The 15,250-nt window shown below is 38.1% G+C and overlaps 1 protein-coding gene across 4 annotated transcripts in view, besides 1 other annotated feature; it reads right to left on the bottom strand.

Moving 5' to 3' along the window:
- NELL1 (neural EGFL like 1) overlaps positions 1-15,250 on the bottom strand; it is a 906,136-nt gene that overhangs the window by 210,268 nt on the left and 680,618 nt on the right. The gene's annotated exons all lie outside the window — the stretch shown is intronic.
- Positions 8,687-8,856: an enhancer, noted in NCBI's record as "experimental_20249 CRE fragment used in MPRA reporter constructs". NCBI's record gives its function as "activates a minimal promoter by MPRAs in K562 erythroleukemia cells, with activity observed for both the introgressed and non-introgressed 11:21378194 variant alleles {active_cell/tissue: K562}" and the evidence as "EXISTENCE:reporter gene assay evidence [ECO:0000049][PMID:34662402]".

The raw sequence follows: 15,250 nt of genomic DNA, 5'->3' as shown, positions 1-15,250 counted from the left end.
CCAGATGAGAAAGCTGGCTTAGATAAGCTAAATAAGTTATCGAAGTTTGCACCACTGCACAGTGGCATCCTGGGTTTCAAGCCCAGAGTCTTAACCACATCACTAAGCTTTCTCCGTTTAGGGCTCTACCACCTACTATGCGCAGATAATGTACTGGGTGTTGGGAAGTCTACAACTAGTCATGAAAATTGTCCCCATCCCCAAGAATCTCATAGTGGAATAGCAGAGAGAAAGGCATATAAAACCAAGCATAATAAAATGTGATAAATGCTACTGCAGTAGCACGAACACAGTGTTGAAAGAACAAAGAGGAGAAAATGATTAACTATGCCCGGTGGACTGATGCAAAGCTGCGCAAAACAGCTAGCATTTGAGATGGGCCTGGAAGAATGAATGGGCTTTTTGCCAGGTGAAGTACAGGAAAAGAGACATTTCAGGTCAAAGTTTTGTCCTGAGGAAAGGTACTTAATAGAAGAAAATGAAAAGGTGTTTATAACTCACACTGAGGTGAGAGGCTGAATATTTAAAAAGAATGCAGTAAGCCATTCAGAGAAGCAGGAGCATTTTAGAATCTGTGAACCATCCCCTTCACCTTCTCATCTCCCTGCTACCTCTTGGATTTGTTGGTTACCTTAAGGCACAATCATTTACCACCTACATATCTGCATACAGACTTTTGCCCTGTCTATTATTTGAGTTAGTCAGTTTAAGACTATGCATTGCTAACTTTAGAAGAATATGAAATAAAATTTTTATTAAAGACCTTTATATGCACATATAAACAGAAACATAAAATGTATTCTTAGTATGTATAATGCATTCTGATATTTTCTACTCTATTGTACTCTATTCTATATCATTTATAAAGTGCGGCTACGATCCAATGACTTGTTTTTGCAATCCACTAAAACTGAAGTTTAAAAACCACTTGTTTACCCTTTTAGTCCATAGCATTTTGTGATAGGATAGGGGAATGAAGTCTTTTTTTTTTTTTTTTTTTTTTTTTTTGAGACAGAGTCTTGCTGTGTCTCCCAGGCTGGAATGCCATGGTGTGATCTCGGCTCACTGCAACCTCTGTCTCATGGGTTCATGCCATTCTACTGCCTCGGCCTCCCGAGTAGCTAGGATTATAGGCACCCGCCACCACGCCCAGCTAATTTTTTTGTATTTTTAGTAGAGATGGGGTTTCACCATGTTAGCCAGGATGGTCTCGATCTCCTGACCTTGTGATCCACCCACCTCGGCCTCCCAAAGTGCTGGGATTACAGGCGTGAGCCACCACGCCTGGCCTGAAGTCTTTTACATTACTCCTGAAATCTTCAAATTGAGATGTTGCTCTTAGTTTTAGAAATATTTATATAAGAAAATGTCTACAAGTGCTATCTTCCATGAATGTAGGTATAACAGAGACAATATGGCCTCCACAGGTGAAAATATTTATTATCCAGGCCTCTGCAGAAAATCTCTACTATAGAGGATAAATTAGATGGGAGAGGCATGGGTTGAGGAGACAGATAATGCATTCCTCTGCATTTCATTTTTGGCCAGTGTATATGCTTCTCTAACCAGACTGTGAGATTCTTAGGGACTAAGATCACATTTTTTGCAATTCTGAATTCCTGTATATCATCTTGAACCTGTGTGATAATAAACATGTATTTGTTATTGAAGTAAATTTATTATATGAGAAAATAAAAATTTTGAGAGGATAGTCTTATAGTAACTATATCATAATATTTGAGATAAACATTTAAAGTCAGATCAATCCAGCTTAAAATATCAAGAGATTCTGGGGAAGATGGCGGATAGGAGACAAAGCTAACATGTAGCTCCCACATGTATGGACAGAACAGCATTTGGAGACTCACACCATGATCTTTTGTTCCAAGAACCACTGCAGAAACATACCAGGAAAACTGAAGGAATTCACCAATCCTTTGAAAGAAGCAAATTCTGTGAAACAGGTGAAAAACTGTGAGTGCCCAAAATGTGAAAGGGGGAAAAACCTACCTCTGAACACACATCTCCACTTGGCAATCTGAAAATCCAGATCACCAAAGAAGGATTTTACCTTACCTAGAGATGAAATGGGTTTAGGGAGTCGCAAGAAATTTGAAAGTACAAGTAGCACAGGAAGTACCTTGAACATACTCCCAGCCTCCAACTTGAGCCCCAGGAAGCCATCCCTTCACTATATCTCACAGGGGACCTCGGGGCAGGCAACCAGTGGAATTGGGAAAGGGTCTTGGGGCAAAGGAAGCTCTCACCTGAAATTGGCAGTGGTTTTGACTGGGTACAAATTTTCTTGAGTGAAGTCTGGGGGATGTGGGAGCATCTGTAGATAGGAGCTTTCTCAGAAGAGTAGCTCATGGCCTGGGGCAAGGCCTGAGCAGAGCACTGCGGGAGTGAGACTGGTCTCGCCAACTGTATGGGAGCTGGGTGAGACCTCTCGCTATCCCCCACTTCCCTGATGAACCATATAACACAGCAGAGGTGGCCAAGATCCCCTCTGGAACATAACCCCATTGACCTGAGGACCATTCCCCCATTCTCCACTGTGGCTGCAGCAAGCCCCACCCAAGGAGAGTCTGAGCCAAGACTTGCGTAAGCCTCCCCCACCTGATAATATTTATCTACCCACCCTGGTAGCCTAACACAAAAGACAATCTCTTGGGAGTTTTATGGCCCATCCCTTTGCCTGAGAAACCAAAATACTTACCCTGGCCATCTTAGGGCAAGCTTAGAGCCCCCTACTACTACCGCAGCTAATTCTCTCTTGAAAGTACCACCTCTTGGCTGGAGGCCAACCAACTCCATTATAGCAATTCAGGACAGAATAACTCTGATCTCAGAAAGAAGAAGACGACACCTAATTCCAATGCCCACAACATCTTGGCTAACCAGAAGTCGTAAGGGTGTCTATGTGACAACTTCACTGCTAGTATAACCAGCATTCAAGAAAGCTAGCACACTAAACATATCCACAACCAAGGACCCTCATAGAGTCTACTTCACTTCCCTGTCACATCTAACAGAGTAGGTGCTGGTATCCATGGCTGGAAGATTTGAAGACCGATTACATCACAGGACTTTTGCAGACCCCCTCTACCACCAGCCTGGAGCATGGTAGCTCTGCTGGGTGGCTAGAACCAAAAGAGCCATAACAATTACTGCAGTCCAGCTCTCAGGAAGTCCCATCTCTGGGGAAAGTGGGAGAGCATTATATCAGGGGATCATCCTCTGGCACAAGAGAATCTGAACAGCAGGCCTTGAGTTTCAGACCTCTCCACTGAATTCGTCCACTCAAATGAAAAAACAAAAAAAGAAAAGTAAAATAATTCTGGTAATATGACAAAACAGGGCTCTACAACACTCCTCAAAATCACACCAGTTCCCTAGCAATGGAGCCAAACCCAGAAGAAGTCTCTGAATTGCTAGATAAAGAATTTGAAAGGTTGATTATTAAGCTACTCAAAGAAATACCAGAGAAAGGTGAAAACCAACTTAAAGAAATTAAAAAACAGTATAGGATATGGGTGAAAAATTCCTCAGATAAATAGATATCATAAAGGAAAAACAATCACAACTTCTAGAAATGAAAGGAATACTTAGAGAAATACAAAATTCAGTGGAAACATTCAACAATAGACTAGAACAAGTAGAAGAAGGAGCTTCAGAGCTAAAAGGCAAGGCTTTCAAATTAACCCACTAAGACAAAGACAAAGAAAAAAGAATAAAAACATGAACAAAGCCTCCAAGAAATGTGGGATTCTGTTAAATGGGCAAACATAAGGATAATTGGTGTTCCTGAAGAAGAAGAAAAATCTGAAAGTTTGGAAAACTTATTTGAGAGAATAATAGAGGAAAACTTCCCTGGTCTTACTAGAGATCTAGACATCCAAATGTGATAAGCTCAAAGAACACCTGGAAAATTCATCACAAAAAGACCATCACATAGGCATGCAGTCATTAGTTTATCTAATGTCAGGACAAAGGAAAGAATCTTAAGAGGTGTGAGACAAAAGTATCAGTTAACCTATAAAGGAAAATCTATCAGATTAATAGCAGACGTCTCAGCAGAAACCTTACAAGCAAGAAGGGATTGGGGTCTCATCTTCAGTTTCCTGAAACTAAAAAAAAAAAAAAAAAAAAAAAAAAATTGTCACACAAGGAATTTGTATCTAGCAAAGCTAGTTTCATAAATGAAGGAGAAATAAAACATTTTTAACACAAACAAACGCTGAGAGAATTCACCACTACCAAGCCAGCATTACAAGAAATGGTAAAAGGAGTTCTAAATCTTGAAACAAAACTTCAAAATATACAAAAAAAGAAACTCCTTAAAGCATACATTTCACAGGACTTGTAAAAGAATAACACAGTGGGGGAAAAAGAACAAGGTATAAAGGCACCAACTAGCATGATGAATAGAACAGTACCTCACATCTCAATATTAGCGTTGAATGTAAATGGCGTAAATGCCCCACTTAAAAAGATGCAGAATGGCAGAATGGATAGAAGTCCACCAAACAAGTATCTGCTGTCTTCAAGAGACTCACCTAACACATAAAGACTTAAGGGAATGGAGCAGATAAAGATATTCTGTGCAAATGGACACCAAAAGTGAGCAGGAGTAGCTATTATTATGTCAGACAAAACAGACTTTAAAGCAATAACAATTAAAACAAAGAGGAACATTATATAAAGATGAAGGATCAAACAGGAAAATACATATGCACCTAATACTGGAGCTCCCAAATTTACAAAACAATTACTACTAGACCTAAGAAATAAGGTAGATGGCAACTTAATAATAGTGGGAAACTTCAATACCCCACTAACAGCACTAGACAGATTATCAAGATGGAAAGTCAACAAAGAAAAAATAGACTTAAACTATACCCTAGAACAAATGGACTTAACAGATATTTACAGAGCATTCTACCCAACAACTGTATAATATACATTCTTTTCTTCAATACATGAAACATTGTCTAAAATAGACCATATGATAGGCCACAAAACAAGTTTCAATACATTTTTAAAAATTGAAATTATATCAAGTATCCTCTCAGACCCCAGTGGAATAAAACTGGAAGTCAACTCCAAAGGAACCCCCAAAACTATACAAATACATAGAAATTAAATAATCTGCTCTTGAATTATCTTTGGGTCAACAAAGAAATCAAGATGGAAATTTAAATTTTTTTTGAGTTGAATGATAATGGTGACACAACGTAACAGAATCTCTAGGATACAGCAAAAGCAATGCTAAGAGTAACGTTCACAGCATTAAATGCCTACATCAAAAAGTCTGAAAGAGCACAAATAGATGATCTAAGATCACACTTCAAGGAACTAGAGAAACAAGGAGAAAACCAAGCCAAAATGCAGCAGCAGAAAAGAAATAACAAAGATCAGAGCAGAACTAAATGAAATTGAAACAAAGAAATCAATACAAAAGATAAATAAAATAAAATGCTGGTTCTTGAAAAGATAAACAAAATTGATAGAACATTAGTGATATTAACCAAGAAAGAAGAGAGGAGGTCCAAATAAGCTCAATTAGAAATGAAACAAGAAATATTACGACGATACCACAGAAATACAAAAGATCATTCAAGGTTACTGTGAACACCTAATGCACACAAACTAAAAAATCTAGAGGAGATGGATAAGTTCCTGGAAATATACACCCCTCTCAGATTAAATCAGGATGAAATAGAACAAACCAATAACAATTAGTGAGATTGAAACAGTAATTTTAAAATTGCCAACAAAAAAAGTCCAGGACCAGATGGATTCACAGCTGACTTCTATTAGACATTGAAAGAAGAATTGGTACCAATCTCACTGAAACTATTCCAAAAGACAAAGAGGGAATCCTCCCTAAATTATTTTATGAAGCCAGTATTACCCTAATTCCAAAACCAGTAAAGGACATAACAAAAAAACAAAACTGCAGAACAATATCCCTGGTGAACATAGATGCATACATCTTCAATAAAATACTAGCATACATCTTCAACAAAATACTAGCTAACAGAATCCAACAGCATATCAAAAAGATAATACACCATTATCAAGTGGGTTTCATACCAAGGATGTAGGGATGGTTTAACATACACAAGTCAATAAATGTGATATATCACATAAACAGAATTAAAAGCAAAAATCATAGGATCATCTCAATAGATGCAGAAAAATTATCTGACAAAATTCAGTGTGACTTTATGATTAAAACCTTCAGCAAAATTTACATAGAAGGAACATACCTCAAGGTAATAAAAAATCAATCTATGACAAACCCATACCCAACATTACACTCAAAAGGGAAATGTTGAAAGCATTCCCCTTGAGAACTGGAACACGACAAGAATGCCCAGTTTTACCACTTCTATTCAACATAGTGCCGGAAGTCCTAGCTAGACCAATCAAACAAGAGAAAGAAATAAAGGGCATCCAAATCAGTAAAGAGGAAGTCAAATTGTTGCTGTTTGCCAATTGTATACCTAGAAAACCTTAAAAACTCATCCAAAAAGCTCCTAGATCTGATAAATGAGTTCAGTCAAGTTTAAAGATACAATGTACACAAATCAGTAGCACTGGTACATATCAACAATGCCCAAGCTGAGAAACAAATCAAGAACTCAATCCCCTTTACAACAGCTGCAACAACAACAACAACAACAACAACAAAAAGGCCGGGCACGGTGGGTCACGCCTGTAATCCCACCACTTTGGGAGGCTGAGGCAGGCGGATCACCCGAGGTCAGGAGTTCAAGACCAGCCTGACCAATATGGCAAAACCCCATCTCTACTAAAAATCCAAAAAAAAAAAAAAAAAAAAAAATTATCAGGGCATGGTGGCATGTGTCTGTAATCCCAGCTACTCAGGAGGCTGAGGCAGGAGAATCGCTTGAACCTGGGAGCAGAGGTTGCAGTGAGCGGAGATCATGCCACTGCACTCCAGCCTGGGAGACAGTGCAAGACTCTGCCTCAAAAAAAACAAAACAAAACAAAAAAAACCTTACAAATATACCACCTAGCCCCAAGGAGGTGAAAGACCTCTACAAGAAAAACTACAAAACATTGCTGAAAGAAATTATAGATGACACAAACAAATGGAGACACATCCTATGCTCATGGATGAGTAGAATCAATATTGTGAAAATCACATACTGCCAAAAGTAATCTACAGATTCAATGTGATTCCCATCGAAGGACCATCATCATTCTTCACAGAGCTAGAAAAAGCAATCCTAAAATTCATATAGAACCGAAAAAGACCCCACATAGTCAAAGCAATACTAAGCAAAAAGAACAAATCTGGAGGCATCACACTACCCAACTTCAAACTATGCTACAAGGCTATAGTTATCAAAACAGCGTGATACTAGTATAAAAATAGGCATGTAGACCAATGGAACAGAATAGAGAAAGCAGAAATAACACCAAATACTTATAGTCAAGTGATCTTCTACAAAGCAAACAAAAACATAAACTGGGGAAACGACACCCTATTCAACGAATGGTGCTGGGATAACTGGCAGGCCATGTGGAGAAGAATAAAACTGGATCCTTATCTCTCACCTTATACAAAAATCAACTCAAGATGGATCAAAGACTTAAAGCTAAGACTTGAAACCTAAAAATTCTAGAAGATAACATCAGTAAAACTCTTCTAGTTGTTGGCTTAGGCAAAGAGTTAATTACCAAGAGCGCAAAAGCAAATGCAACAATAACAAACATAAATAGATAGGACTTAATTAAACTAAAAAGCTTCTGCACAGCAAAAGAAATAATCAGCAAACAGACAACCCACAGAACAGGAGAAAATATTCACTAACTATGGACAACAAAGGACTACTATCCAGACTCTTCAAGGAACTCAAATAAGTCAGCAAGAAAAAACAAATAATCCTTTAAAAAGTGGGCTAAGGACATGAATGGACAATTCTCAAAATAAGATATACAAATGGCCAACGAATATACAAAAAAATTCTCAACATCACTAATTATCAGGGAAATGCAAATTAAAACCACAATGAGCTACCTCACTCCTGCAAGAATGGCCATAAATAAAAAGTAAAAAAACAATAAAGATGTTGGCATGGATGTGGTGAGAAGGAACACTTTTACACTGCTGGTGAGAATACAAACTATTACAACCACTATAGAAAACAGTATGGAGATTCCTTAAAGAACTAAAAGTAGAGAACTACCATTTGACCCAGCAATCCCACTACAGGGTATCTACCCGGAGGAAAAGAAGTCACTTTATGAAAAAGACACCTGCGCACACATGTTTAGAGCAGCACAATTCACAATTGCAAAAATATGGAACCAGCCTAAATGCCCATCAACCAATGTGTGAATAAAGAAAATGTGGTATATATACAGCATGGAATAATACTCAGCCATAAAAAGGAATGAAGAAATGGCATTTGCAGCAACCTACATGGAGTTGGAGACCATTATTCTAAGTGAAGTAACTCAGGAATGGAAAACCAAATATCGTATGTTCTCACTGATAAGTGGGAGCTAAGCTGTGAGGACAGAAAGGCCTAAGAATAATACAATGGACTTTGGGGATGCAGGATGAAGGAGGGAGCGGTTCAAGGGATAAAAGACTACACATTGGGTAAAGTGTACACTGCTTGGGTGATGGGTGAACCAGAACCTCAGTAATTACCACTAAAGATCGTATCCATGTAACCAAAAACCCTGTTCCCCAAAAACTATTTTAATAAACAAATTAATTGTAAAATATTATCAAGCATCTACTATGCGCTACAGTATTATTATATGCTCTAGTAATATAGATCCTGTTCTCCAGGATCTTTGAGTCTAAAACAGTGTTTGCGCGGAGGACAATGCCCCCCATTTGCAGGAGATATTTAGTAATGTCTGGTGACACTCTCAGTTATCCCAGTTGGATGTCACAACTGCTACTAGTGGGTCTACTGGTGAGCAGAAACCAGAGATGTTGCTAAATATCTTACAGGTTAGCAGTACAGGACAGTCCTGCAACAAAGAATTATCTAGCTCCCTATCTCAACAGTGTCAAAGGTGAAAAAAGGCAGACAGTCCTTCATTCAGTCATTCAATAAATATATATTGTGCACCCTCTCTGTACCAGAGATTACTCAGAACCAGGGCTCAAGTAGTTAACAGAACAGATAAAAATATTTCTGATGGGTTTACATTCTCATAGAGAAGAGACAGAATAAATAAATGTTTATATTCTTATGGAGAAGAGACAGGTAAAATAAATGTGAGACATAGGATATTAGATGATAGCAAGTGATAGGAGAAAAAGCAGACACAGTGTGGGAAGTGTGTCAGTGGGGAAGGTTGCAATTAAATAGGGTGACATATAACGGGTGATCACTGAAAAGAGATCATTTGAGTAGAGACCTAAAGGGGAAAAGAGTGAGCCATGAAATTATCAAGCAAAGAATGTTCCAGGCAAAGGTTACAGCAAGTGCAAAGGCCCCAAGGAATGAAGTGTGCAGATCACGTAGTGACTTAGAGATCCAAGCAATACTGCCTGTACAAGTCAAGAGGAGGTGCCAAGAAGGAAAACTCTTCTGACCAGAAGGTCAAGAATGGCTCCATAGAACTGATGCTGAATTTGAAAAAGTTTTTATGAATTTAAACTCTCCAGAATGTAGAAATGAAAGATTTATTAAAAGGAAGGGCAATTCAACAGATAATCACCAAGAACTTAGGAGTGAGGAGTATTTAATCCTAACCTTGTGGTCAATCATGGACACATTTTCCAAAACAACTCAAGTACCTGAGTACTTCTTCCATACAGCCTTTGGCTTAGTAAAAGCATGATTCTAGAAACAGATCTATCTTCTAGTCCTGGTTTCACTTCTTATTTGCTGACTGATTTTGCCAAATTGCTTAATCTCTATGAAGTATCACCTTCCTTATCTGTATAATCAGGTCAATAAGGGAACCTGTATCATACTGGTAAAACTGGAATTAAATGAGGTAGTGCATGTAAAGCACTTGGCATAGTGCCCACCCATAGTGAGTGCTCAAAATGGTGAGCACTTTTTAAATATATCAGCCCCGTTTTCTCTAGGTTAATTCATATAGCAGAGAATTTTCTTCTCAAATATCAAAAACTCTTTGCAGTCTGCCTCTCACTAACTGGTGCACACATCAGTGTCAGACTTTGAGAGCTTGTTGGGCACTGGAATCAACAGCAAGGAAAATGATGGGACATTAAGACAAAAAGGTATGAAGAGGAATAGAATAAAAGATGATGTTCACATTTTAACATGCAAAATTCAAGAAATTAATTCAGGACTCCCTAGGACACTAAAGCAACATCAAATTATATCTTTGCAGTAAAACCTCTGAAAGCAGTTCAAAATTTGGCATTCAACATTTACAGGAGCACTAGGAAATGGGAGCCTGAAAGGGCTATCTGTGAAAAGCAGTTGAAGAGAAAGCCCCAGGTAAGAAGGTCAGAAGGTTTCCTATTACACTGCTATATCAGAGCCAACGCTTATATTAGCCCTGGAGGTCACAGTCTAGAGACTTTTAAAGAGATAAATTCCAGCAAACTCTCCCAGGTAAAAGCATTCTGCAACTTTATATAACTGCATGGAATTACATGTTAAATCTTGAAAGAAATACGAATCCAACCTGCAGTGATAGTAGCTGGGTAATTCGGGTGGACCAGAGTTCTCAAGAGAGCTTCTTTGTTTCCCATCTCCAACCTGAAACCTGAACAACTTCTCAGATTTGTAAAGCATTTTCTGCTTTTGTTTAAAAAGCACTTCACAATAATCTTAAAAGGTAATTTGTAATTATATCTGCATTCTGGAGTTGGGGAAGCTGAAAGGAGAAAAGTTAGATAGCTAGCCCGGAGAAAGTTAATTATGAGGCTGAGACTAAATTCCAGGTGCTGGGATTCTAGTCACACCCAGGATTCAGCAGAACATCAGGTGCCTGAGAAGCAATGCCAGTTTCACCCAATGAGAGAAACCTGGTTTGAAGTTTTAACTAAGTGAAGCGGGAAGGAGAGGAGAGTAGAAAGAAGGAGGGAGGAAAAGAGGAATAATACAAACAATAAATAAAGAAAAGAAAAAACCATCATATCTCGCAACTTAGCCATCATATCCTGCAGACAATACTGTCCCTGCCCCTAACCCCACCCCTTCAAATACTTAACACATGCAGAGACTTGGTCTTTCAGACAATGGGCTCCTGGATGTGGGGAGCCTCGCACAAATCTCACATATGCCATTTTCTAGCTATGTGACATTGGGCTCATCTAGAAACTGCGGTAAGACTTATCTTCTTTTTGACAAAATAAAATGTTAAAACAGCACCTTCTTTATATAGTTGTTGTGAGGAATAATGTAACCACAGGTCCAGCGTTAAGTTTCAGCTGCTTCAAAGGTACTAATTATTGTTGACATCATTGGTTTATTAGACACATACATGTGGGGAAAGCCATCTTGGGAAAAATACACTGATGTGAGAAATTAAGGCAAATGAAACCCTAATTTATGGGGTTAACAGTCTGTCATATGTATTTTGTTGAAAATTTACTACTTTTAATTCCATGTTTGAAGAGCTCAACCAAGGAAGTAAGCATTAGAATTATTAATTATCATTTTTAGAAAATAAAGAATTCAAAAGAGCTCTGCTTGCTGTAGAATTCAAAAGCATATATTCGACCTTTCTTTGGCTGCCTTCAAAGTCAAAACCCAGGGTCCTCTTAAGCGAGCGTGTCTGATTAATAGCTGCTTTCATGCTGCACACAGCCGCTGGCACTGGAGCCCAGCGATCTGCCTTTCTAGATGTTTAGCTATATCTCATCTACAACATGGGCTGCCCTTGTTCTTGTGCTAATGTTATTTTTGAAAGGTTTAAGCTCAAATCCCTCAAAATGTATTTCTAATTTATAGGCAGCATGGTGGAGGTAAAAGCATAGTCTGTGGAAAAACAGACAAATCTGGATTTAATCACCACCTGTGTGACCTTCAGCAAGTTACCTCCTCTGTGCCTCAGTTTCCTCACTTGTGAAATGAATACCTCTTCTTCAAGTTGGGATGAAGTTTAAATGACAAGGGAAATATGAAAGTAAGTGCCTCATACCTCAAAGATTTTTACTTTCCACTGTTCACCAGTAGCAAGTTCTATAGCCTTATCCAACTAGGTATAGTTCCTCAATCATGCTGAATTTGCTTTTTTTACCCATCTGTTTAGTCCACATGATACTGGCCATGAAGGGATCAAGCAAGATGCCTTGTCTGACTATTTCCTGAGGGTGCTATAATGAAGTTTCCATAATGTTCATCTTTCTGCCCAACTGGAGAGCTATTCTCAACTCAGACTCTCAGCTGGAAAGGAATCTACTCATGTCCTCATGTTGAGATCTTTAAAGTGCTTCTCCCATATCCACAGTATGCAGAAAACATGGAATCTCATTAGTGTATTATGATCAAAACAAAGAAAGGACAGGCACAGAGTACCCAGGTAAGAGGGACAAAAAGAAGTGGCATCTCACGGCTTCATCCAACATTTGCAGAGTACACAGGAGAGAAGCAAAGTTTCCCAGAGAAATCATTTAATAACATTTGGGCCTCAAGGACTATATTCTTTCTTTCTGTAAGAGTAATAAGAATTAAGGACAAGAGAGCTCACGTAAGAAAAGCAGTTTGCAATAGAAACTAGCCTATGGGGGATAAGAACATCACTGAACAGGATCCAAAATTGATCAAACCTGTTATTAAAGCCACACCAATTAAGGGCCATCCCCAATTTATTTGTGTGTATTTTTCGTGAGAAGAAATGAGGAATTAATATCAGACCCCACTGCAGCCTTTGTAATCTGTTTTAAGTAATATTGCACTTAAAATTTATTGAGTTTTTCCTAATAAAGCATGGACCCAGAAATTCTCATCAAACATTTTGAATGCTTCTATGAATTTCCCAGTTAAAAAAAATCTTCTATGTATTGTTCATCCATCCATTCAAAAACTATCAATCAAAATACTACTATGTGCCAAGTACTCTCCTAAGCACTTAACAATAACAATGATCAAAACAGATAATGTTCCTGGTCATATGCAACTTATCCTCTAGTGGAGAAAAATATAAACTAAACAAATAAATACACAATAATCCAAATTATAGTAAGCGATACGGGAAAAACTAAAGCAGGGTAAAGGAGATAAGAAATATTGGTAGAGGGGTTACTATTTATTTAGGATGATCACAAAAGGCCTAATAAACTGACATTTTGGCACAAACATAAAGGAAGACCGAGAACAGGCCAGGCAGATGGTGTGGTGATGAGTACTCTAGACAAAGAGAATAGCTTAGCATAAAGGCTTCATGGAGGACCATACTTAGTATGTCCAGGAATTGCAAAAAGGCCAAGTGAGTCAGAGGCTGAGTTGTAGGAGACGGTAACAGAAAATTCATAAAGCATCAGTTCTCCTACGGTCATTAGGATGTTTAAAGACTTTATTTTATTGTTCTGAACGCAATTAAGAAGCATTGGAAGATTTTGTGCTACAGAATGACATTATGTTACTTAGGTTTCAATAGACGCTCTCTCTGACTAACGTGTTAAGAAAAATAGAACTTGGGCTGGCATAAGCAATGGTGAATGCAAATAAACTAGTTAAAAGCTATTACAATAATTCAGGAGAGAAATTTATGGTCCCCTCAATCAGTGTGATGGAAGTGGAGATGTGAGAGAAGACAATAATCTATGTACTACAGAGATCCACAGAAGGTAGACCACATAGTAGAGATCAGATCTTTGTCCGGAGTAGACAAAACTGGGTGAGCAGCATATCTCTTTCCTTCCACCTATAGAATTAGAAATTTAAAAAGTTTCTTTTTTTTTTTTTTACTGGAAATAATATGGACTGCATTTACACTTACTTTTTTCTGCCTGCAATTATTTTTCCCATTAGTAAATCAGGTAACTCTCACTTGACCTGCAAATCTCAGCTGAAATGTTCCCTGAACTGGGAGGCCTTGTAATTACCTGATGACCATCTCCAGTCCCAGACCTCCAGTCTAGCTTAAAGACCTGTATTAGCTTCCCAGAGTCGCCATATCCAAATTACCACAGACTTGGTGACTTAAACCAACAAAAAAAATATTCACTCAGTTTGAAATCAAGGTGTCGGCTGGATAGGTTCACATTGGAGGATCTGAAGGAAAATCTGTTCCATGTGCTCTGTCCTAGCTTCTGGTGGCTGCTAGCAGTTCTTGATATTCCTTGGCTTGTAGCATTATAACTCCAATCTCTGCCTTCATCTTTATGTGACTTTCCTCTAGGTGCTCTGTGTCGAATTGCCCTCTCATTTTCCTTATTACTGATATCATTTATACCAATCCAATTATACCAGTAATTGGATTTAGGACCCATGCTAAATCCAAGATGATACCATCTTAAGATCTTTAACTTAACTACACCGGTAAAGGTCCTATTCCCAAATAAGGTCACGTTAATAAGTAATGAGGGTTAGGACTTGGACATATTTTTTTAGGTCCACTATTCAACCCAGTACAGAGTCCCTCCTGTATTCCTCCAGGGAATCTTTGTTGTACTCATATAACATTTATCAAACTGTCCTATAATTGTCTTCCCACTGATCTGTTTAGCCTAATAGATTCTTGAGCTTCTGAAACATACAGATGGTGTCTTTCAACTCTCTGTCTCCAGTTCCAAGCAAAATTCCTGCACATAATACATAATCAATCACTCCTTATTGAATAAATTAATTACAAATCCCAGAGTAAACTTAAAAAACCAGCAGAGTTAGCGAGTCTCACCAGGCCATTTAAACCTGCCAGAAGAGTCACTCAGGTGTTTTCACCTAATGTTGGCCTTTTATAAATGCTTTGGCTTCTATTTTGTTCTTCAACAGAATGGAATGCACAGGATGAAATTATAAACATATGCATTGGGCAATGAAGTTTTTTTCCTTTTGGATTCTTAACTATATGGACAATGGTATTTGTTAAATATTAGTGGTTATTAAAGTTTTTTTTTTTTAAAAAGATCTTGCTCAGTAGTTAAATCATTTTTCTCTTCTTTTATTAGCCATTACTAGTGCTGTTAGTTTCCATTTGATGATTCTCAAAATTGGGATCAGGAACTTCCAACATCCAGAATAATACCATATCCAATAGTTATACCCAAGAATTACTGGCATTAAGAAAGACTATCAAAGCAGTGAGCATGAGAGAAAAT

This window comes from Homo sapiens, chromosome 11 (assembly GCF_000001405.40).
Source record: "Homo sapiens chromosome 11, GRCh38.p14 Primary Assembly".
In the NCBI taxonomy this organism is placed as follows: Eukaryota; Metazoa; Chordata; class Mammalia; order Primates; family Hominidae; genus Homo; species Homo sapiens.
This window is presented reverse-complemented; position numbering and strand designations above follow the sequence as displayed.